General features: G+C 50.9%; 1 protein-coding gene across 10 annotated transcripts in view, besides 3 other annotated features; it reads right to left on the bottom strand.

Annotated features, from left to right (window-relative positions):
• Positions 1-1,028: 1,028 nt before the first annotated feature.
• Positions 1,029-24,045, bottom strand: part of RUFY4 (RUN and FYVE domain containing 4) — a 55,719-nt gene continuing 32,702 nt past the window's right edge. The window contains exons 1-13 of one of the 10 annotated variants that reach the window (XM_047444010.1): positions 22,333-22,428; positions 22,123-22,200; positions 21,030-21,181; positions 20,822-20,931; positions 19,182-19,307; positions 18,796-18,902; positions 18,295-18,438; positions 17,796-17,865; positions 15,941-16,588; positions 15,148-15,254; positions 8,425-8,571; positions 2,319-2,429; positions 1,029-2,195 (exon numbers count right to left, since the gene is read on the bottom strand). In XM_047444010.1, coding sequence (XP_047299966.1) covers positions 2,192-2,195; positions 2,319-2,429; positions 8,425-8,571; positions 15,148-15,254; positions 15,941-16,588; positions 17,796-17,865; positions 18,295-18,438; positions 18,796-18,902; positions 19,182-19,307; positions 20,822-20,931; positions 21,030-21,075 — 1,620 coding nt within the window. In that variant the 5' untranslated portion in view covers positions 21,076-21,181; positions 22,123-22,200; positions 22,333-22,428 and the 3' untranslated portion in view covers positions 1,029-2,191. Of the gene's footprint in view, positions 2,430-8,424; positions 8,572-15,147; positions 15,255-15,940; positions 16,589-17,795; positions 17,866-18,294; positions 18,439-18,795; positions 18,903-19,181; positions 19,308-20,821; positions 20,932-21,029; positions 21,182-22,122; positions 23,087-24,045 lie in introns of those variants that run through there. The other 9 variants (XM_047444009.1, XM_047444012.1, XM_047444007.1 and 6 more) reach the window with 9 other exon arrangements.
• Positions 15,152-15,653: an enhancer, noted in NCBI's record as "H3K4me1 hESC enhancer chr2:218940751-218941252 (GRCh37/hg19 assembly coordinates)". NCBI's record gives its function as "activates a minimal SCP1, AML or CMV promoter by ChIP-STARR-seq in primed H9 embryonic stem cells {active_cell/tissue: H9 hESC(primed)}" and the evidence as "EXISTENCE:reporter gene assay evidence [ECO:0000049][PMID:30033119]".
• Positions 17,381-17,675: an enhancer, noted in NCBI's record as "tiled region #3825; K562 Activating non-DNase unmatched - State 13:Ctcf". NCBI's record gives its function as "activates a minimal TATA promoter and a strong SV40 promoter by Sharpr-MPRA in K562 cells {active_cell/tissue: K562}" and the evidence as "EXISTENCE:reporter gene assay evidence [ECO:0000049][PMID:27701403]".
• Positions 21,816-22,679: an enhancer, noted in NCBI's record as "H3K4me1 hESC enhancer chr2:218933725-218934588 (GRCh37/hg19 assembly coordinates)". NCBI's record gives its function as "activates a minimal SCP1, AML or CMV promoter by ChIP-STARR-seq in primed H9 embryonic stem cells {active_cell/tissue: H9 hESC(primed)}" and the evidence as "EXISTENCE:reporter gene assay evidence [ECO:0000049][PMID:30033119]".

Raw genomic sequence — 24,045 nt, 5'->3', positions numbered from 1 at the left:
CACATCAATGGTCCTTATCAAAGTCTGGCCAAATGAACACTGCACAGAGAGTGACCTAGACTCAGCCTTTCCCTCCAGGTACTCTCAACTTGAGATCAATAAAGAACTATAGCGGTTGGTAGGAAAGGACAGAGAGGTCCAAGTTCTGTGTCTGTGCCTCTTTCCTGCCCTCCAAATGCAGGAGTCCTGGTGGGAGTGGGGTGGGGGCAACAGAAACTCTCACATGCTGCTGGTGGGAAGGGCAAGTGTACAACCTCTTTGGGCAATAGTTTGGCAGTTCCTTAAAAGTTAAACATGGCCAGGCGCGGTGGCTCATGCCTATAATCCCAGCACTTTGGGAGGCTGAGGCGGGCTGATTACGAGGTCAGGAGATCGAGACCATGCTGGCTAACATGGGGAAACCCCGTCTCTACTAAAAATACAAAAAATTAGCCGGGCGTGGTGGCGGCCGCCTGTAGTCCCAGCTACTTGGGAGGCTGAGGCAGGAGAATGGCGAGAACCCAGGAGGCGGAGCTTGCAGTGAGATGAAATCACACCACTGCACTCCAGCCTGGGTGACAGAGCGAGACTCCGTCTCAAAAAAAAAAGTTAAACATAATGACTCACCCATGTCATTCCTAGGAATTTACCTAAGAGAAACAAGTATATGTCTACACAAGAGAAACCTAAGAGAAACAAGTGTATGTCAGCAGATACTCATGTGAATCTTATTTGTAATAGCCCCAGGTTGGAAACAACTCAGATGTCCATCCACAGGTGAATGTAGAGACAAACTGTGGCATATCCATGCGGTGGAATACCACTCGACAATAAAATATGTTCTTGATATATGTAGCAACAGACACGAATCTCAACATCATTAAGTTCAGCAGAAGAAGGCAGGCAATAAAGAGGGCATACTGTATGATTTCACTTACATAAAATTCTAGAAAATGCACATTAGCCTGTGGTGACTGAAAGCAGATCAGTGTTTGCCTAGGTATGGAGGGAAGGGAAGGGAGGGAGACCACAAAGGGGCACAAGGAAACTTTGGGGTGGATAGATATGTTTATGAAGACGGTTTCATTGGTGTTTGTTAAAATCAAAACTCATCAAATTGTACACTCTGTGATGTTTATCATATGTCAGTAGTACTTCAATAAACATAAAAAGAAACACAGCAACACAAACACAGATCCCTGAAGCTGACTCCAGACAGGAAGCTGCTGGAGAGTCCAAGATAGTGCAGGCTTCACTTCTCGTGAATCAGGAAAGGTGGGCACCGCTGCTGGGTGAGTGGGGAGTGTGGAGGAGAAATGTCAGGGCTGCTGGGGTCTTATCCACAGTCATGGATTTGCTGAGCCCAGAGGGACTTTAGAGAGGATGGGGCCCAACTCTTAACATTAGAGAAGAAGCCCTGAGCACTGAGAGCTTCGCCAAAGTCACCTGGCTCGTTGTGGTAGTTGCAGGGCTGGAACCACTCCCCACACCCTACTCTGCCCACAGAAGTGCTGGTGCCTTAGATCTTCAGTGTCTAGAATGAGGACTGGACAAACAAGAGGGCTGGGAAGAGCTACGGGCAGGGAGTGGATTGAGTGGGATGGGCAGGCAGGTGGGAGGCCAGTCATGGGCTGGTCTTGGTCTTGGTCAGGTGACCTGGGCTTCTCTTCCCTGGGCGCAGGGTGGGCAGCAGCGGTCTCTCTTCTTGTAATCCATGGAGCAAGCATGGCAGAGCAGGCCTCCACAGAGCCTGGAAGGCAGAGGCAGGAAAGCCTGGGGCGGCCTCTGCAGCTGGCACTTCCCCAAGTGGGCGCTGAGGTCATGGAGTTCCAGCATCTTCAGGTCCACCTGAGACATCTGTTTCTCATCTCCCAGTGGAATGCCCTTGGTTTGTCTCAGGAGGTCTCCCCTCTCCTGAAGGGTGTCCTGATGCCCGACCCCTCCAGAGCCTCCACCTCCACATGGCAGCTTCTCCTGGTGGCTCACTTTCCTCTCTCCCAAGGCTGGTCCTAGCACTGTGCTCACAGAGGAAGGAGGGGGAGCAGCTTACGCTGTACAGATGCTCCCTTCCAGATGAGAGGCCCATTTCTCAATCGGCTCTTGGAGGGGGACCCAATCCCACTCCCCGGACCCCATTCCTTATCTGATCCTTCTGCTCTTCTCCTTTATGGCTCTGCTTAGTGTTGGAAGCCAGATGTGGTAGAATGAGTAGTCAGCTGTAAGTGGCCTTTTATAAACACCCAGTTCCTGTGTCCCTCCCTTCCCTGGGGTGGGTGGGGGCTGTCAGCTGGTGGAAACTGGGCTGTCCCAGAGGGAGGATTCTGTGCCCTTCCCTTTACCTGCATGGATACCGCCGAGAAAATCGGCCAAAGATCTTGCTACAGGCCACACAGCACTCGGGAGCCATGGAAGAGAGATGCTGGAGCCTCTGCCACAGGCGGTCCTTCTCTCTGATGGGGGGATGAAGGTGGAGAGACACAGACAGAGACAGAGATCAAAAGATAGAAATGGGAAAAGACCCAGACAGAGAGACAGAGAGGAACAGACGGAATCACACAGAGAGGAAGAGAGAGACAGAGAGGGTGATGGAGGGAATCACATGGACACATACGGAAATAAAAAGAGATTCAGAGACAGGGACAGAAACAAGAGCAGAGACGCAGATAGAGACACAGCAATGGGGAGGGATACAAAGATGGACAGAGAAAGATGGTTACTCAGAGAGAGAGAGAGGGGTGGAGAGAAGGGGAAAGAGGGAGAGAGAGAGAGAGAGGATTGGAGAGAGACAGAGAGTGACATAGAGAAGTTGAGAGATATATAGAGGGAGAGAGACACACACAGAGAAAGAGACACAGAGACAGAGAAAATGGAGACAGAGGAGAAGACACAGATATGGAGACAGATGGAGAGATAGAGAAAGAGACATAGGGGCCAGAGAAAGACGGAGAGAAATGAAGAGACAGTGAGAGACACATGCAAGAGATCAGAATGCAACTGACACCTGGCCTCCTCTTTGCCCAAAATAACCTTGACCCATGATTTAAGGACCCATTATTTAAGCACAAAGGAGTGTTCCCTGATCACAGAGGCCCCTGGGGTTTCTTGCTCCAGACACTTACAGCACATCTTGCCTACTGTCTCTTATCTGGCACTTAGTACAAACTGTCTTGTATTTATTTACATGTATGCCCTTGCAAAACTAATTTCACTGCTTTTTTCTTTTTTCTTTTCTTTTTTTTTTTTTTTGACAGCATCTCACTCTGTTGCCCAGGCTGTAGTGCAGTAGCATGATCACAGCTCACTGCAGCCTTTACTTCCTGGGCTCAGGTGATCCTCACACTTTAGCCTCCTGAGTAGCTGGGACTATAGGCACGTGCCTGGCTAATCTTTTGTAGGGATGGGGTTTCGACATGTTGCCCAGACTGGTCTTGAACCCTGCCTCAACCTCCCAAAGTGCAGGGATTACAGGCATGAACCACCATTCCCCACCTTCACTCCCTCTTGTAAGGATATTTAGGAAGACGGGTTGTTTTAAATTTTTATCAAAATAATACATGCATATGATTTAAAAATAAAATCGTACAAAAGTGCTCATATCAAAAGGCCTCCCCTCTCTTTCTTGTTCTCAGTGGCAAACCATTTCTGACGTCTTTTTGCTTTCTCTCCTTGAAATTACTTCCAAATTTAAGTAATATGCTCCTATATTTCCTTCTTTGTTTACCAATAGAGAACATTCTCTATAGAGCTCCTCCTTTTGATATCAGAGGATTTAGCTTATTTATTACCATCCTCACTAACTCACCCTCCTAACATAGTTATATTCCTATTTTTGGTTCCTCTATTGGCTACCATTGTAATTTTTTTTTTCTTTTTGAGACAGAGTCTTCCTCTGTCACCCAGGCTGGAGTGCTGTGGCATGATCTTGGCTAACTGCAACCTCTGCCTCCTGGGTTCAAGTGATTCTCCTGCCTTGGCCTCCCAAGTAGCTGGGATTACAGGCATGTGCCACCATGCCTGGCTAATTTTTGTATTTTTAGTAGAGATGGGGTTTCAGCATGTTGGCCAGGCTAGTCTCAAACTCCTGAACTCAGGAGATCCACCTGACTTGGACTTCCAAAGTGCTGGGATGACAGGCATGAGCCACCATGCCTAGCCTACCATTGTAATTTTTACAGAATATACTCATGTATTCATTTCTTCATCTACTAACTATAGGTAGTATCCTTATGACTCCTGTTCTGTAATATGATGATGCAGCATCTCTTCCTTTCATCTCACCTCTTTCCTCCACCTTCTAACTTGCCGTCTTTTCTCACAGCATCCAAAATGGTAGCCACTACCCCACATGTGGCTATTTACATTTAATTTAATTAAAATATTAATAAATAAAATAAAAACTTTAGTTCCTTAGTTGCACCAGGTCAATATTTCAAGTGCTCCATCTCTACATGTGACTATCAGCTACCATACTGGACAGCATAAATATACAACCTTTATAGAACATTCTATTGGATTCTATTCTATACATAATATTGTTAAGGTGGTAGCATTTATGTTCTGTTTCTATAATTACATAATTGCTTTCTGTGCTTTGCTTTTAAGTTGATTCTAACACTGAAAAAAATTAATGAATAATATTTACATTATTAGATAATACATATATATATTTCTTCCCAAAGAGCTAAGATGTCTTCTACAACATTTTCCTTCTTGGAAGGCTTTTGGTTTTCTGGGAGTTTTTAATTGCCTTTCTTTTTTCCTTGCATTACTTGCCTTTAACATATTATTTTCCTCCCAATTTTTCATCATTTCAGGTGCTCTCTTGATTCCCTTTCTCTCCAGAAACCTTCCTCCTGGGTCCTTGGTCCTTCTGCTACAGTCTAGACTGACTGCTCCCTGGGATTGCTGCCCACTTGTCATCTTGGGAATTCCCTTTTCTTCTCTCCTAGGCTAGAGCTATTTTTTTTCCCCTGAATTCCACATCTTCTCCTTTCTTGGCTTACTTCCTTGTTTTTCTGGAGCACATCCTCAACTAACTTCCTATGAAAGGCTATGTGGGAGGCAAATTTTCTGAAATCTGTCTATGTGAAAATGTCTTTACTCCACCACCTCCCCCACTTAATTCATGGTTTGTCTGGAAACAAGATTCTAGGGCAAAAGTCAGTTTTTCTCAGAACTTGAAAAGAATTGCACCATAGACTGTTTACATGGTTGGATTCTACTTCTTTTATAGGTGATCTGTCTTTTTTTCTGGACAATCTTAGGACATTCTCCTTATCTGTCTTAGTGAAATTTCATAATGATGTATCTAACTGTGGGCTTTGTTTGTTTTGTTTTTCATTCCTTTGCTCAGTGAAATCTTCAAATCTGAAGATCTGTGTCCATCAGAGCTGGGGAATTCTCTCACATCTTAATTTTTGCTATGTTTCATTTGTTTCTCTCCTCACAGTTAGAAAGGACATTGGAACTCAGAGACTGATTATCTGTATGTCTAATTATTTCTCTCCTGACTCCCATCTCTCTGTGCTTTTTATTCTACCTTCTAAGAGACTGCCTCATCTTTCTCTTCTAATCATTTTAGTGAATTGAAAAAAATTCAGTGATCATAATTTTAATTTAATTTTTAATTTCCAAGAATGTTTTTCATCTTTTGACAGCTGCTTTTTATAGCATCCTGTTTCATGGAAGATGGATCTTTTTCCTTTGTTTATCTTCATCTCTTCCCTTTATATTCTAGACTCTCCTCAAATATCTGGGGATCCTTGGTTGTCATTTTATGTGTAAGAAAGAGGCAATAAAATCTGTTTAGAACTCCGAATAGTGGACAGGAATGGTTGACTAGTGGCTTCCCTTTAGTGGGGACTGGGCAGGGAGCTACCTGCTACAACCAGACACCCAAATGCCAGGACAAACTGGTCTTTTATTTGGGGCACTTGAATTCCTTTAGTGAAGGATCTTTTGATCATTTGCTTGGGAGATAGGCCCCTGAGTGCTGGATATTCTGCATGTGGGGAGGCAGGCAGAAGGCAGCAGGTATGGATTGCTCTTTCTAATGACTTTATTCCTCATCTCACTTCTGCCATGTGTGGCTCTGGGATCTCTGGATCCTACAAAAAACTTGGGCTTCACACAGTATCCACTTCTCCAACCATTTTCCAACTTCTGGAAATTAGCTGAAATCTCTCCTCTGTGGTTAGCTCCTCCACTTTTCTCTCCGTTTTAAGTTTTAGTCTTTTATAGTCATTTTAGAGAAATTTCAGGATGGAGAATAGATAAGATGTGGGCAGTCCACCATCCCGACGCAGAAGTCAACCTTGGTGGCTATTTTTTTTTCCTTTTTCTTTTTGTTTTTTGCTTAGGGTCGTATTTTCCATAAGCTTCTGCCAGGGACATTGTATTACATAGTTTAATGTCTCCTGCCTGAGAACCTGTGATTAATCACCTTTGCACTGGGAAACTAGTGCTGATGAACTAGTATATTTTCTTTGGATGGGAAGTGAGATTTAGTTACTCTGTCTTTCCCTTTTTGATCCTGCTACCAATATGCTCAGTGCTGAGTTCTAATGCTAACCCTAATCCTAACACTTTGGGGATATATACGTTTTGTTTTCTATTATATGTTCCACGTAATTTTCTTTCTTTCTTTCTTTTTTGAGATGGAGTTTCACTCTTGTCACTCAGGCTGGAGTGCAGTGGCACGATCTTGGCTCACTGCAACCTCCGCCTCCTGGGTTCAAGTGATTCTCCTGCCTCAGCCTCTTGAATAGCTGAGATTACAGGTGCCCGCTAACACGCCCAGCTAATTTTTGTATTTTTAGTAGATGCAGAGCTTCACCATGTTGTTCAGGCTGGTCTTGAACTCCTGACCTCAGGTGATTCATCCACCTCACCTTCCTAAAGTGCTGGGATTACAGGCCTGTGAGCCACTGCACCCGGCCATGTTCCATTTAATTTTCTAGTTTTCTTTAACAATCATATATATATGTCTTTTATTGTTGGCTACCTTAAATTCTTTCATGAGGTCAATACTTCACTTTTTATATCTCTCTTCCTCCCAATTGACAGTAAATTCTTTGGAGGAACTATTCCTTAAATTATTTGTTTGTCATTTCCAAGTTGATGTCTCCTTTTTCTCACCCTTAATACCATTTGGATATTGTGTAAGAGGATTTAGTTCTAAATGACCCCTCACCTGAAATACTAGCACTTTGGGAGGCCGAGCTGGGTGGATTGCTTGTGGTCAGGAGTTCAAGACCAGCCTGACCAACATGGTGAAATCCCATCTCTACTAAAAATACAAAAATTAGCCTGGCATGGTGGCATACACCTGTAGTCCCAGCTACTTGGAAGGCTGAGGCAGGAGAACCGCTTGAATCCGGGACGCAGAGGTTGCAGTGAGCTGAGATGGCGCCACTGCACTCCAGCCTGGGGGACAGAGCGAGACTCCGTTAAAAAAAAAAAAACAAGCAAACAAAAAACCCTTAGCAACCTTCAAATTTTAATGGAACCTGAGTCCACTGGTCTCCTGTTTCCTGAACTGTATGAGAGGATAACATATGTATGTGAACTCTCTTTCTACTCAACTAAAGGGCAGGAACTATGCTTTCCGCATCTTCCCCATCTCTCAGTGAGCTTAGTGGTTTGGAGCTGACCCTGGTGAGCCCAATGTCTGGAACCTAGGACAGCTGACCTAGGGCAGGTCCACAGGCCCAGGGTCTGAGGAAGTCCCGTGGGCAGGCAGGTGTAGGACACGTGATCACCTCTGGGTTCTCCCTGGTGTCTTTTTCCTCCTTCTCCCAATTCCTTCTCAACCCATGGTTCCTTTCTCCTCCCTAACCTTAGTAGGTGTGTGTATGTGGGGGTGGGTCTGGGTGGGGGTGTGCATTATTTTCAGGGGACTCTATACAATTTATATGCTATGTGTCCTAGATGACTAAGTCTGCCTTTTTTTTTTTTAATGGATTCTCACTCTGTCGCCCAGGCTGGAGTGCAGTGGTGTGATCTTGGCTCACTGCAACCTCTGCCTCCCAGGTTCAAGTGATTCTGTTGCCTCAGCCCCCTGAGTAGCTGGGACTACAGGCACACGTCACCATGTCTGGCTAATTTTTGTATTTTTAGTATAGATGGGGTTTCACTACATTGGCCAGGCTAGTCTTGAACTCCTGACCTCATTATCCGCCCACCTTGGCCTTCTAAAGTACTGAGATTACAGGTGTGAACCACTGCGCCTGGCCAAGTCTGCCTTATTTCTGACCCTCAGTTTCCTTTTCTGTAAAATGGGGATAACAGCAGGGAGTGGCTAAAAGAAACAGAAGGGTTAGCTTATATAAAAGGTCTAGAACCCTGCTTGGGAGTTGTGAGTGGAGTAGAATTTTCACGCTCCGGGCTCCACATCCCTTACCGTTCCCCCATCTGTTTCCCCTTTCCCACTGTCCCCGTCCTTACTGGATCAGTTCCAACACCCGCCTCTTCATGGCCTGGACCAAGTCCCGCTGCCCTCCAAGCTCCTCCTGGTACATGGCATCCCTCCTCTCAGCCTCCTGTTGCTTCTGCTCCAGCTGTGCCTGCAGCTCGGCTCTCTCTTCCTGACACCTGGGTACAGAAGGAAGACTAGGTTCTCAGGGGGCAAAGCTCAGCCTTTGTGCCTGAGCTAGGCTGAGCCTCTTCCAGAGAGGGAGCCCATGGGAGACGCTGGTGATGCCCCCGGCAGCTGAAGTCCACACACACACAAACACACACACACACAGCACACACATGCCTACAACACAACACACACCCTAATACACACATAGTATAACAGAACACATACGCACAACACAGAAGACACACTTACAATGCTACATGCATATAATTTATACATATAATGCAATACGTACACACACCACAACACACGACACATCTCAACAGACTTAACGCACACACAACACAATACACACAACACATATATAATGCACACACCACACACATAAACAGAACACAAACAACACAACATATAAACACACACTTGCACAACACACACAACAGACATCCATAATGCAGACACACAACACAACATGCACACAATGTATGTGCGTTTACACACACACATACAATATACACACCACACACTGAACTGCACAGTGTGTGTGGCCTGACACCTACGAACTGACTCCTCACCAACCATTCAGAGAAATGAAAACAGGGCCCTGCCTTGAGTTTTCCTTTAGAGGGAGGGGATGAGCCAACATTTCCTCCTCCCGGCTTTGTTTTTAAACATTTCCATTTAAGATGTAACTTTCTTGAAAGGTGTGTTCACCATCATGGCAGCTCTCTGGAGGGAAGGCAGACGCCTGGGAACCCAGGCTGGATGGTCGGTGCCCAGCTGGAAATAATTGTGTGTGGAAGGGGAGCAGTGAAGGATTTAGGTGGTGTTTTGCTTTAAAATATTTTAAAAAGTTATGTTACCTTGTCTTTTCAATTAAAAAAGTAATAGTAAAAATATGGCTTTCCTAAATTTGTTTTAGTTTTGGGCTTGGTGGCGTCTCAGCTCCACTCTTGGTTTTTCTTTTTGTGTGTAGTGGTTTTCTGAAAGGTTCCAAGAAGACCACTGGACTGGAAATAAAAAAGACCTGGCCCCAGGGCCCAGCCTCTGGCTCAGTTGGGAGGCCCCTGGCTCAGCTGGGAGGGCGTTGCAATGGCAGGTGGCATGCGTGAGAGTCCCAGCGCTCAGGATGCATGTACGTGTCTGTGCCAGTGTGTGTCCTGGGGCTTGAGTGTGTTTGAGCGGAAGAGGCTTGCAAGAGGCTTGACAATGAATTGAACATGTAATTTTAAAACACCCCCTTTTAGCATGTTGCAGGGAAGAAAGTTGGGTGGGCCATGACATCAAACTGTCAGCAGCTCAGCCACTGACATTCCAAAGAGTTCAGTCACTGCAACCCCAAGAGCGTTCTGGTGCTCAGGCACGAAGCAGGGCCATGTTTTTAATTTTAATGAACATTCTAGTCTTTTGGCACCTCATTTCTTAGCTGCTGACTTTAATTTTCCTGAGCCAGTTTACTTGCCCTGTGATCCTGGGCCCTTAATGTGATCACCGTGGTGTGTACATGTGTCTCTGGGGTGGGAGAGAACACTTACTTAGCACCTACTGTGTGCCAAGGGATGTTTAGGTGCCAGGAATAAAGCAGAGCCTATGGATCTTACAGTGTTTGGGGCAGGGGTAAAATAAATGATAGACTCATAAAATAACTAAACTAAGTGCTATGACAGAGACAAACGAGAGGCTAAGACAGAGACCAGGGAGGGTTCTTGGAGAGGCTTCTCAGACAAGGTGAAATGGAAGCTGACCCAGAAGATGAAAAGTCAGCAATATAGAGCCAGGCATGGGCACATGTAAAGGTCTGCAAGTTGGAAGGAGCTGAGCTTGTTTGAGGAACTGAAAGAAGATGAGTGAATCTGGGCTGCCACAAAGGGCAGTGGGGGGCAGGGAAGGTAGGAGAAGAGTGGGGAGGTGGGCAGGACCTGAGCTGTCTGTCAGTGGCCCAGGAAAAGTAGATGTTAATCTCAGTGAAATGGGGAGCCCCTGAAGTATTTTAATCAGGGGGTGATGGATACTCCTAGCACACGAGGGGACATGGAAGCATGGAAGGAATTAGTTTACTGAGCACTTACTATATGCCAGGCCTGAGCTTGGTGTTTTATAGCCCCATTCATTTAGTTTTCACAATGTTAGGAGACAGATAATATAATCCTCATTTTACAAGAGAGAAAAATAGAACCTCAGAGAGGGGGTGACACTTGCCCAGGGTCACATAGCTTGATGAGTGGAGGGGGCAGAAATCTGGACACAGGCCAGCCCAGATCAAAACTCTTTTTGCCTCCCTACACCTTCACCCAGGTAAGGCCCTGATCACCAGTGATTCCTGGCACTGGTGCCAAGTGGGCAGCAGGTGGGAGGGAGGGAGGGAAGGATGCTGATGGAGCCTGGCAGGACTCCAAGGAGCTCAGTGCTGCTGTGCAGGGGCTGGGGGTCATGTGACATCTGCCTAGTTCCCCATCCTGAGGACCTCTTTGGCTGATGCTTGTCCTAATTTCTTTGGCTTGAGGTCTTATTCCCAGCGCAGAGGACACCCACCTGCTTGGAAAGATGGCCCCATGAGCATCTGAGCTGGGAGGAGGAACCTTAGCTATCCCACCGTCTCCTTTTGCAAATCAGGGACCTGAGGCCCAGAGAGGGCAGACCACTGTCCCCAGGGGCCCACAGCTAGAAAGCTGTGAGGTGGATGTTGGAAGCCCCATGTCTTAGCCCAAAGTCCGTTTTCACAGCCCCATGGGCCTGCCTGAAGCCTGCCGCCTTCAGGTCAGCTGTGGCTCACCTCTGCCCCCAGCCTGTGCTCTGCACGGGACTTCTACCACACTTCCACTGTCCTCCACACCACAGCCTGAGTGAGCCTTTAAACACAGAAGTCAGACGGAGAAACGCCCCTGCTCTAAACCCTGCCCCAGCCTCTGGTAGCACAGAGAATTCCGGTGCCTCACTCTGCCTTTGAGGCCCCTGGCTCCGGCTCTGCCGCTCTCTCCTCTGCTCAGCCACACCCCGTATGCATCTGGCCTGCCTGTCAACAAACGCATGTCTTCCGGACATTCCCCTGGCCACAGCACTTCTCACTAGATATTTGCATGGTCCAGTCTTTCATGTGGTTGGGGCTTCTGCTCAAATGTCACCTCAGAGAGGACTTTCTGGACCCCAGTCTGAATGACTATCCTGTCTTTCTCCGCGCCCTTCCCTGCCTTTGTTTTTTTCCCTAGCATCCATCCAATGGCCATTGGATTGCTATCTGTTTATCTGTCCCAGGTCTTCTAGAGCAGGCTGGGCCAAGTTTGTTCACCACACCTGCTCATGGCCATTGTAGAAGCATACTAAATGTCCATGGAATGAATGGGTCCCTCGGCACTTCTATTCTCTGTGTTGAGGAACTCATCACCAGCTTGATGCCCACGGGCTCCTTTCCCGGGAGTGAGCTTTGTCCTTAGCTCCCTGGCTCCCAGGCATCAGGGTAGCACATCCTCTTCTGAGCCTCAGGGTCAGCTGTTACTCACCATCCTTACTCTGAGGACTCCAGGATCGATCTCCCAGCGCACACTTCCCTCCTGAGTTCCACACTTAACTGCTTGCCCAGCGGCTCCCGTCTGACATGTCTAACAGGTATCTCAAACGTAACGTGTTCAAAACCAAGCTCTGAACTTTCCCTACAAATCTGCCCTGCCACAGCCCACACACTTCAGTTAATGGTGACTCTAGCTTTCCAGCTGATCAGGTCAAAAAGCTTAGAGTCATTCTCAACTTCTGTCTTTCTTTCATACAGCATATCCAATTCCTCAGGAAGTTCTACTTCACACTTCATCCAAAGCCCGGCAGCTTCTCCTTGCTCCATGCTGCCAGCCCAGTCTGAGCACCCCAACTCTCCCCTGCATGGCAGGGTCCTCGCTGGACTCCCTGTGTTCAGCTTGCCTGCTAACAGGCCAGCTCCAAGGGGCCTTTAAAACGCACATCAAGCCGGGCACCGTGGCTCATGCCTGTAATCTCTACACTTTGGGAGGCTAAGGTGGGTGGATCACCTGAGGTCAGGAGTTTGAGACCAGCCTGGCCAACATGATGAAACCCCATCTCTACTAAAAATACAAAAAATTAGCTGGGCGTGGTGGCAGGTGTCTGTAATCCCAGCTACTCGGGAGGCTGAGGCAGGAGAATCACTTGAACCCAGGAGGCGGAGGTTGCGGTGAGCCGAGATGTCGCCACTGCACTCCAGCCTGGGCAGCAAGAGCGAAACTCTGTCTCAAAAACAAAAACAAAACAAAACAAAAAAACCAACAACAACAAAAAACATGCCAGCCTCTAACAGGCTGATCTATAGAGAAAGTGGACTGGTGTTACCTAGAGCTGGGAAAGGAATGAGGAGTGGCTGCTAATGGGTACAGGGTTTCTCTTTGGGGAGATGGAAATGTTCTGAAATTGATTGAGGTGGTGGATGTATAACTCTTAAATATACTAAAAACCATTTAATTGTTAAGCATTTGAAAAAGCATGTAAACATCTTTTTGACATTAAAAAAAGTCAAGTCTCTCTCCTACTCTGAGCTCTCAGTGGCTCCCATCTTCCTCTGAGTCAAAGTCGAGGCACTTCCGATGACCTCGCAGGCTCTCCCTAACCTGCCTCCTTGGCTCACCTGACCTTTTCCCACATCCTCTCCCTCCCTCACTCTACTGGGGCCCGGAAGGCCTCCTTGGATGTTCCTAGAACCTGCCCTGCCCGTCCTCCATCAGGGCCTTTGTTTTTGCTGTTCTCGCAGCCTGGAACATTCTACCGAATAGTCAAAGGGCTTGATCTTCACTTCCTTCAGGTCTTTAGGTCAATGTCACATTTACAGGGAGGTCTTCCCTGGCCATATTACCTTATTAAAATGTAAAATACCACACCAACATGTCCCATTCCTCTTGTCTGCTTTATGTCTTCTTCTTAGAACTTATTCCAATCTGATATCCTAGGTACTTTACTTGCTAATCACTTTTATTGCCTCCTCCACTAGAATGCAAGCTCCATGAGGGCAGGCGTTTGGCCTGTTTTGTCTGTGAGAGGATTTCCCATACCTAGGACAGGCCTGGCTCAGAGTGGGTGCACAGGGTGTTTGTGGAATGACTGAATGATGAGTGACAGGTGGCCGGAGCACTGTGGTCTGTGAGACAGGGTCCCCAGTAAAAGGAGCAGCCAGGGCCAGGCCATCTCTCTATAACCTCCCAGCTGCTCCTCCCAGACTGTCTTGAACCCTTGAAGACTCTTGTGTGGCCAGAACCCCCATGTTCATTTTGCCCTGAATCGTGGAAACCTTTGCGACCACACTGTGTGCTCAGCTGAGTGTGGAGTGGGAGGAGCCTGGGGGTCCTTTTGGGTTGGTTTCTGGGCTCCTGGGCCTCTCTCACCTGCGAAGCAGACAGCCAGAAGGCTTCCTAGTGATTCAGGCTGAATCACAGCTACTCAGGCTCTGCTGGGGTCCGACTGGTGTCTGTTGGACCTGGGGCAGGTGTTAGCCATGTGGGAGAGAGAGACAGGGGCAGGTGGGCAGACTGACGTACCCGGAGACCACAGGAGAGAGACACAGAGAGGCTGAGTCAGGCCACGGAAGATCTCTGCAGTGAGAAGAGACTTTAAAAAATAAATTATGGGCTGGGTGTGGTGGCTCATGCCTGCAACCCTAGCACTTTGGAAGGCTGAAGCTTGAGCCTAGGAATTTGAGACCAGTCTGCACCATGTAGTGAGACCTCGTCTCTACAAAAAGAAAGAGAGAGAGAGAGAGAGAAACTGAGACCTGAGAGACTGAGGACTGAGGGGGGATGGTAGAGACAGACAGCGTGCTGTGGGCCCCTGAGGTCAATGTGATGACGGAAGATGAAGACACTGGATGGTGAGAGACACTGAGCAGGAGAAACGGAGAGACTGAAGTGCAGGCACTCGACATGCTGCCTGAATGGGGCGTCTGAGCCCACTGGTTCTGGAGTCAGCTGCAGGCCTTGAATCTCAGCTCCCCCGCTAACTAGCCAATGGTGGGTGAATTGTGCAGCATCTTTGAGCCTCAGCTTCCTCCTCTATAAAATGGGGGTTCTATAGAACTCATCTCATAAGGGTGTTACGCAGAAGCACCGACAGCAGTGCCTGGGACGTAGTAAATGCTTAGTAAATGATAGCTGTGATTATGAGAGGGTGAGAGGTGGCATAACAGGAAGAAGCAAATGAGACACAAAGAAACTGAGTAAAAAAGGGAGACAGAAAGAGATGGGGGAAAGAAGTCCAGTGGAGTAGGGAGGCAGAGAGGGTGAAAAAGAGAGAGGAGCTGCCCAGGGGAGGCAGCAGAGGGAGGCAGGGGTGAGGGTGGGAAGGAAGCAGGCCAGGAGGCGGGGCCTTTCCTGGGGCTGCTCCTGCTCTGGGAGACCTACGAGAAAGGGATGCACAGAGGAGGGAGGGTGGAGCCCTGGGATCAGGAGCAATGCCCTGCAGGCCTCAGATCCCAAAGGTGTGCCCAGTCCAGGGCCTGGTGCATGGGAGGTTCTCACAAGACCTCACTGGCTTGACCGTGATTGACAGCAGGACCTAGGGAGCACTTCCAGGTGCCCTGTGCTGTGGGTTGCCAAGGTTACCTGCTGAGCTGCTCCCGAAGTGCCTGCAGCTCCCCCTCCTGCTCCCTCAGCAGCTGCTCCTGGCGCTGGGCCTGCTCCTCAGCCTTCCGGAGCCCAAGTCTGAGGCTCTGTGGGGTGGAAGGAGGGGAGAAGGAGGCTGAAGGAGAAGGGCAGAGACCCCAGTGCTGGGGCTGACCTGAACAACATTCCCGAGAGACCCCAGGCCATGCCCTGGCAGGGCTGGGGACAGTGCTGGGAGCTGTGATGCCTGGCTCTGTCCTAGGCCCTGCTTCTGGGTGTGCCTGGGCCACGGTTTCTTCCTTCACTGAAGGGTGGAAGTTGTAAACTCAGAAACTTGCAAGTTCCTGGGTGGAGGCCGAAGGGAGGCTTGGTGACAATCTTGAGTGACCTCCAGGAGAAGCATCCACCACAGGAGCAACTAGGTGGGCTCTGCAACAGTAGAACTTAGATTTCGGGAAGAGACTTACCATCATGAGGATATGGAACTGGAGAGAGGAAGTGACTGCCTGGAAGAACTGCTGGGAAGGGATCTCAAACTCCAAAGCCTACTGGGGCTGGGCAAGAAGTATTGCCGAATAAAGTGGGTCTAGCGTGGGGCAATAGGGAGAGGCGGGGACTGTGGGGACCTGAAGAATGTATGGCTTTCAAAGGCATCCCCAAATAATAATCCTGAGTGGGCCAATAAAAATTGACCCGTGGGAGGGAATGGTCCCAGGCTACCATTGCAGACCCTCATCTGTGGGCCAGGTCAGACAGGGGCAAATAACCAGGTATGGAGCTCAACTGTTCTCACCTTGATCTCGTCCTGCAGGGACACCTCGGCTTGCTCCTCCCTTCTGGCCACAAGGGTCACTTCTGTTTGCACTTGTGGATTCTCCACGGTAGAGTCTTCCTTTGTTGCGTGTCCCTGAAGGACCCAGGGCTCCCCCAGGATGCTAGAGCCCCCCGACCCCTGCCTGCTCCCTGATACTGCTCCCTCTACAGCCCCTCTGGGGCTGGGCATCAGCAGCCTCTGGACGTGACTCCACTCTGCTTCCTTTTTGTGAGTCCCCTCTGTTGTTCTCTGACCCTCTGCAACCAGCAGAACCCCTGTGACCTCAGCCTCCATCCCTATCACCTCCTTCTGAGTGCCCATAGCCCCCTTCCCCTGTCCCTGGGTGCTGGGTGTTGAGTTCCCCAGGAAGATCTCAATCCATGGGGCTCTTTCCTCCTGGTCTAGCTGAAGCTCCTTCCCTTCTGGCTCCCACATGCTCTGGGGGTACCTATGTTTCCTGGAACTTTCCCCCTTCTTTTCCAAAAAGAAAGGAAGATGCCTTTGTTGCTGGGACCTGGGAAGCCCTGCCAGCTGCTGTCCACTGGGTGCATCTTGCAGACAGATGGCTTGACTGGTGTGTGAGTCCTCAATCTGGACATTTTCAGGCCCTCCATATGCGGCTGGGATCTGTGGAGAGGACCCAAAACCAGTCATCCCTCTCAGCACCAATTCACTGACCTGGTGCCATTAGATTAGGCCACAGTGCTAATCTAATCAGCTTGCTAAATAGATAGGTACCAGGTCCTCTCACTGGAAGCTTTGATTTATCAAACCCCAAATCTGACTTTTAGCAACACCCAGGTGATCTGAGCGCCATGCTTTGGTCTGGTGAGGGACATCCTGATGTCCTTCTGTCCCTTCCCGCAGCCCACATCCTTCTCCCTCCTGCACCTGGGTCTTGGGTATTGATCTGGTTCCCCCTAAGTTCCTCTCACTCCTTTCCTTTAATTTTTCCTCCCGAACTACATGTCATGTTTCAGTTTTTTCATCTGCAAAATGGGAATGATAATACCCGGTTTTAGGGTTGTGATGAAATCTCGACTAGACCGACACTCAGCTAAGAGCAACCTCTCAAGAAGCCTCTGTGCTCCCATGTTCCTCTGTTCATTTCTGTGTCACTTACACTGAAATTGTATATTGCAATGCTTTTTTTTATGGTATATCTCCATGAAGAGACCCTGAACTTTTCGGACCAGAGAACTAATAGTATCTGTACCCAGTGCCTGGAAGCTGGTGGGGGTGCAAAATGTGCTTGGGGGATGATGATAACAACGACGGTGACCACACACTGTCATGCGGGGAGCGTGTAGCCAGGAGCCCTGTGCAGTGCTGGATGTGAGTTGTGTCCGTTCATCCTCACAATATCCCTATGGGGCAGGACAAGTAACTTGTTCAAGAACCACAGTTTGTAAGGGGTGGGGCTGGAATTCAACCGGGCAACCTGGGTCTTTAGTCACTTCTTGAACTGAACTGAGTCATGTGTCAATTGTCCAGTGCAGGGGACTCAGCAGAGGGTGTCCCTCTCATCTGTTTCCTGAAGCTTTCAGTGGCCCGCCCCTCATAGCACTTTCTCCTTGTCTGGGCCCAGTGGCTCCGGCAGAGGGTGCTAGAGTTCCCTTTCTCTCCCAGTGTCCCCGCCACCCCAGGAATAGGAGCCCTCTCCTCCTCTGCAGCTCCCCAGTCCCCTGCTCCACACACTGGCCTCTTGCTCTGTCTGTCCTGTAGGGTCAGGGCTCTCTGTACACTCGGAGGGGGAAGCTCAGTTTCTACTCAACTTGAGGATGCCAAGGAGATGGGGAAGAGGCAACTCAGAGTGAAGGCAGGGCAGAGGCACCTTCTTTGGGGCATCTTTGTTTTTTCTGGGTCTCCTTCCCTGGGTTTGGGTGGAACTGGAGCAGCGTGACCTGAAAGTGAAAGAGGCAGGGGGACCCTGGGCCTCTCTTCAGTGTTGGGCTTGGTCCTCAGATGGAGGGTATCCCATCTTTCCACTAGCGCATTCATCCCATGACACTTCCTCCTTCCTGCCCACCCACCCTCATGCATCCCATCCTCCATTCATCCGTACTTTCCCTCCTAGCATCCAGCTATCCATTCATCCTCCAGCCCTCCACCTCAACCACCCAGGAAGTCGTTAGTGAGTGCATATTCTAGGCAGCATTATGCCATGAATTTGCACTGGGAGCATCGAGGGCTAGAAGAATCCAAAGGCATGGAGCAAAAGGAGGCAGAGACAGATGGGGCTGGAGGCTGAGGGCTTGGGGCTTGCCTGGGACCCTTGGTGGCCATGGGACCAGGTGTCAAAAGAGACTTCTCTCCTGGCTGCACCCACTCACTCTGAGAACATGGGCCAGGCTCCATCCAGGTCTGGCTGCTGGAGGTCCAACTCGAAGGCCACCCCATTGAGAGCATAGAGAGAGTCCAGGATGTCTTCTTGGCGTTCTGGGCAGAGCAGAGGGCTCCGGGGTCCATACCATTCCCTGTGTTAACAGTGATCAGAACCCTTGGCCTTTGACCCTGGTGCTGTTTCCCCCTGCCCCAACCACCCCCACCCCAGCTCAACCTCAACAAAGCAGCCTCCACTACACACCGTCATGAGGCTGTTCCCCAGGCAGAGTTGTGGCCCTTCAGGAGCAGGAGGCCCAAGAACCCTGATGCTCCCAGGACTCCTGGGTTCTAACCTCCCTCTGCCCTTTCTCCCTTGATTTTTCCTTCATGACTCTCATTGTAACTGTCCTTGATAGAAAGCCATCTGTGGGGGTTAAAGGAGGGCTCTTTTACAAAGGAGGGAAAGTGGCTCAGATGGCATCGGCAGGAGGATGTCCCAACAGCCCCACCTGGTGAGCTCTGAGTTCAGGAGGCAAAGCTGCAGGGCCTCAGCCAGCTGCCCACGGGCCAGGCAGAAGCGGATGAAGGCACGGCCTTTCCCCAGAGGGGTCTTCAACTGCAGAGTGCACAGGGGCAGAATGGGGAGCAGTATTAGGACAAAGGGCGCCCAGGTAACACAGAGAGAGGGGACTGGAAGTGCTTGGCAATGGGAAGGGTGCAGGGGGACCTGAGGCCATGGGAGGAAAAGGGTGTCTGGAGGGGTGCTGTGGGCAGGGCTTAGGAGACATGCAGAGCAGGTGAGGGGTCTATGGTCGGTAGAGCAGGGTGGGGGAAAAGGAGGAGGCCTATGTCTACCCCCACCCCGTCAGCCTTCTTGCTGCCTGGCCCTGGATACCTTGTCCTGGGAACGGACAAAGTGGATTGGCTCCATGTTTCCCCGCTGCCGTCGTAGGGCAGTGCAGAGAAAGTCCCAGTAATCCTTCCGAGGCCCCAGGAAGCTCTTCTGCTCTTTCTGGTCAAACTAGAACCAAAATGAGGCAAAGAAAGTGTAGAAATGCTTCCTCCCAGAACACGCCCTGCATTCTAGCTTGCTGAGGGGACATGTACTGGAGGAGAGGGCTCCTGCAGACACACCCGGCATCCAGACCCAGCCCTGTCCTTACTGGCTGTGTGACCACGAGCAAGGGGCTTGACCTCCCTGAGCCTCAGTGTTCTTATTCATTCATTCAGAGGCCCTTATTGAGCTCTTGCTATATTCCAGGCCCTCCTCTGTGTGTCTGGGGATACAACTATGAACAAACTGACTTCATGGAACTTACATCTTGATACTTACATCTTGATCCACACTAGGCTGGTGGTGTCCACTCCTTCCCCATGGAGTGCCCCTAGCCTTGCCTGGGTACTCATTCTCCTCAAGACACCTACTCATCCTTTCCTGTGCCCCAGCTGAATGGAAAATGTGTGTTCTTTGAGGAGAGGGTGCAGAAGTAAAGCACAGCCCCAGGGATGGGGCTGAGCAGATGCTGCCTGTGTGTGGGGAGCAGGGTGCCTGGTTGTAATACTGCCTTTCTCTCCAGGGGGATCTCATCCTCTTCTCCTCCCGATGGGTCCCGGGGCCCGGAGAGGGACACTGTGGCCCTGATAAAGGAGTTAAGACAACAAACAGATGAGATAAGTAAAGCATCGAGTATGTTAGATAGTGATGACTGCTACGGAGAAAAAAATAAAGCAGGAAAGAGAATGGAAAATGCTGAGATGGGGGATGGGTCCCCTCGGGCCGACCTGGGGTAGAGTCACCTGTTGGCCAAATGGGGGCTGATCCATTGTGGTAGCTGTGGTGTGTGGTGTGTGTGGCACGTGTGTTGAAAATCTAGGGTGCCCAGAAAAGCCTTCCTGCTTGAAGGAGCTGAGAAAGTATGCTGTGCATTCCAGTGGAAGAGCATTCTAAGTAGAGGGGAGAGCCCGAGCAAAGGCCCCGAGGCAGGAGCATGACTGGTGTGCTCCAGGAAGATCCAAGAGGCCAGGGGAGCTGAAGTGCAGTAGATGAGTGGCAGGGTGGCAAAAGATGAAGTCAGAGAAGCAGGAAGATGTGTGTCGGGGTGTTGGGGGGTGGACATCAAGCGTCTCAGAGGGCGAGAGTGAGGATTGCATAAAGCCAGGCATATAGAGGCTGAAGTCTGACACATAGCAAGTATTCAATAAAAGCGGTGCTGGTCATAGTTGGGGCTCTGAGTAGCAGCAGGAAGGGCCAGTCCTAGGACATCAATGCCTCTGAAAGTTTAAGCAGTGGGGGTTGCCCCCAGGTCTGGGTCCCACCACCAGGCCTGGGTCCCTTCCAGCCCCGCTTTGCCCCACTTCACTTCTTAGGCTGCAGTGACAAACTCCAAGAGTGAGGTTAGGTGTCAGGAGGGAGAGGGAGATGACACAGTGCATGGTAAGGAAGGGGGCTGTGGCTCCTCCCTGATTTTCCAGGAATGTCCCACCAGTTATCTGGGTCTGGGGAGAGGGATGGGGAAGGGGAGGAGAAGGTCCCACCTGCAGCAGCAGCTCCAGGCAGCCACAGAGTCTGTGCAGCTCGGCACTGGTGTCCGTCACTGGCCCCTGCCCATCCCCATAGCCCTGGAGGATGGCAGAGACGGCAGCTGCTGGGAGGATGGCAGATGTCAGGTCGCTGAGGGAGGGGCTCCCAGACCCTGACTTCTCCCATGACTCAGTCCCAGAGCATCTCTCAGGACACACTCACCTCTTAGGTCTTTGGTGACCTTGAGGATGGCTCCCTCTTCTGCCATGGGTACTTGGAAATGATGTGATTCCTTGCAACTTGGACTGTGAGCTCAGGAAGGACTTTCGGCCTCACTGCCCAGCTCTCTCCTTACACAAAGCAGGACGCAGAGCCTACAGAGGGAAAGTGACTAATCTTGGGTGACATAGCAAGTTACCTAGTAGGGGGAGAATCCCAGCTCTATCTTGTAGGCCAGTGTGTGAAGATGATGGTGTGGCCTCCACCGATTGAGCAGTCCCTGGGTGACGACACTGTGCTAACACTTGATGTCCTTGTCCCATTCAATCCTCACATAATCCTGGAGGTTATTAACTCCATTTTAGACCAGGAGAAACAGGGGATTGGAGAGGGTAAGTCTTTTATCCAGCATCACAGAGGTACCCAGGACTTGAACTCAGGTGTCTGTGCCCACAGGGCCTGTGTTCTGGGTCCTGACTTGGTGTGAGTGACCCCGTGAGGGCTCATGATATGTGGACACTAGGCTGGGGGTGTCCACTCCTTCCCCATGGAGTGCCCCTAGCCTTGCCTGGGTACTCAGTCTCCTCGAGACACCTACTCATCCTTTCCTGTGCCCCAGCTGAATGGAAAATATGTGTTCTTTGAGGAGAGGGTGCAGAAGTAAAGCACGGCCCCAGGGCTGGGGCTGAGCACATGCTGCGTGTGTGTGGGGAGCAGGGCGCCTGGTTGTAATACTGCCTTTCTCTCCAGGGGGATCTCATCCTCTTCTCCTCCCCATGGGTCCTGGGGCCCAGAGAGGGACACTGTGGCCCTGACAGCTGGTGGCCTTATTCTGAGATCCTAGAGTCAAGACCAGGCATGGAGCGGAAAACCCAGGTGTCCTGCCTCCCGGGCTGTGGCTGTTGGAGTTTGGGGTGGGGTGGCAGTGGTACAGCAGTGGGACACAGTGGAGGGAAGGGGAGAGGGAAACGGAGGTAAATGAGGGAGGTGGGTGGAGCATGGGATTCAGGGAGGACGGGGTCAGGAGTCCAGAGACCTGGGTCTCCATCCTGGCCTGGCTATGAACTCACTGTGTGATCTCCGGCAAATCACTCACCTTCCTTGAGCCTCAGTTTCCCAACCTGTAGACCAAAGATTGGACTGATGGTCTCGGCAGCCCCTTCCAGCCCAGATCCTGTGTGAAATCCATGAACGGCTCCATGTGTCTCCTCCTCTCCCTCGTCTCTGCCAGGCATTTTCCTCCCCTGGCTCCTGGCATCACACTCCTTCTATCCCCGTAAGTTCCAGGGGTCTCCCTGCTACTCACCCAGGAGAGCCTGGCTGGCTGGGGCACGAGAGCGCAGCTCTGCTGCCAGAGTCCGTCCCTAGTGACTCTGCCTTGCACAGCAGTCCCAGGATTTACAGCCTGGGAAGAAGTAACTCAGTCCCAGCCCAGCAGCCTGGAGGGGGAACCTGGCTCACAGCGGTGGGGGAACCGCAGACGCTGCAGGGAAGAAGTGGTAGAGGCAGGATCCAGGGCGCTGGGGCAGAATGGTGAGATGGGGGATGGGTCCTCTCAGGCCCACCTGGGGTAGAGTCACCTGTTGGCCAAATGGGGGCTGATCCATTGTGGTAGCTGGGACTGCTGCTAGTTTCCTTTTCGTTTTCAGCACCTGCTCTTGCTTTTCTCCTTCTCACCACCAGGGGGCAGAGGGAGGCCATGGAGCTCCGCAGCTGCTATTCCTGTGGTTGTCTCGTCTCTGTCACTTGGTTGGGCTGAGAGGCAGCGCTCCAGAGTGGGGAGGGCAGGGCGAGGGTCCCACCACGCTCCTCCTTCCTTCTCCACCTCAGTCAGCTGAGCGGTCCACCTGAGTGCTGGTCACCAGTGCCGAATCCCTAGTCCTGATCTCATTCCCAAAAGGATGGATGTGAGACCACCAGTGAGATCCTGTGCCCAGCAATGGGCCAGGTGGGTTTCCCAGGTGGGCTGGGGCTTCCCTTCCTGGCTGTGCTCTGCCTCCTTGAGGCTGGGGTCTTTCCATGCTGGGTCCTCGTTTCTCCAGGCTGGGCTGCTGCAGGGGCTAGTATGGGGGCAGAGGAGCAGGGGCCTGGGAGGACGGCTGTTTTCACAAACCCCAGGAACCGCATCTAAAAACCAGCACAAGGGATGCCCCAGCCCGTCTGCCCTCTCCTCCGTCCCTATATCCCCCATGCAGAGGCTGAAACCCCCATCTCTGTCTCCCGTGTCATGTCCCTGTCTCCCATCCCTGTCTTTCCCTCATTCCTTCCCTTTCTCTGTTCCCTGTGTCTCACTTTGCACCCTTGGTCTCTTTCTTGCCCTCCCAATTCAGTCTGTCTGAGGCCCTGTCCAGGATCCCTGCCCCTGCGCTCCTCCAGCACCCTGCCCTTCTCCAGCCCCCTGCCTCCCTCCAGTCCCCTGCCCTCCTCTAACCCCCTGCCATCCTCCAGCCCCCTGCCCTCCTCCAGTCCCCTGCCCTCCTCTAACCCCCTGCCATCCTCCAGTCCCCTGCCCTCCTCCAGTCCCCTGCCCTCCTCCAGTCCCCTGCTGTCCTCCAGCCCCCTGCCCTCCTCCAGGTCTGAGCTGGGAGGCAGGTGTCTGCCAGGGAACCACTCTGCCTGGTACAGGTGTGGCGCTGGTTTCTCCCTGGGAGAGTAAGAGGAGGTGTTTGGCATCACCAGGGATGGGTAACTCCTCTCTAGGTCCCTGTGACCTCAGGACTCCCTGTTGGTGGGTCTCCTTGCTTCACCCCATGTCCCTGCCTCCCCACCTCCCACACAGCCAGCTTTGACACGGATGAGGGGGTGCCTGTTGGGCCAGGCTAGGGTGGGCAGGAGCAGGGACAGTCAGTGGGGCTGGGATGGAGCGAGGTGCCAGGGGCAGTGGAGGTGGATGATCAAGGCGAGAAGGAGGGGAAGGTGTGTGTGCTGGTGTGCAACAGTGGCAGGGACAGGGATGGGGATGAGTGTCTATCTGCATCAGATGAGCTGGTTTCTAAGCGGCCTCTTGGGAGAGCCTGGA

Source organism: Homo sapiens, chromosome 2 (genome assembly GCF_000001405.40).
Source record: "Homo sapiens chromosome 2, GRCh38.p14 Primary Assembly".
Taxonomy (NCBI): domain Eukaryota; kingdom Metazoa; phylum Chordata; class Mammalia; order Primates; family Hominidae; genus Homo; species Homo sapiens.
The sequence above is the reverse complement of the archived record's forward strand: the minus strand, read 5'-3'. Positions and strand labels throughout refer to the sequence as shown.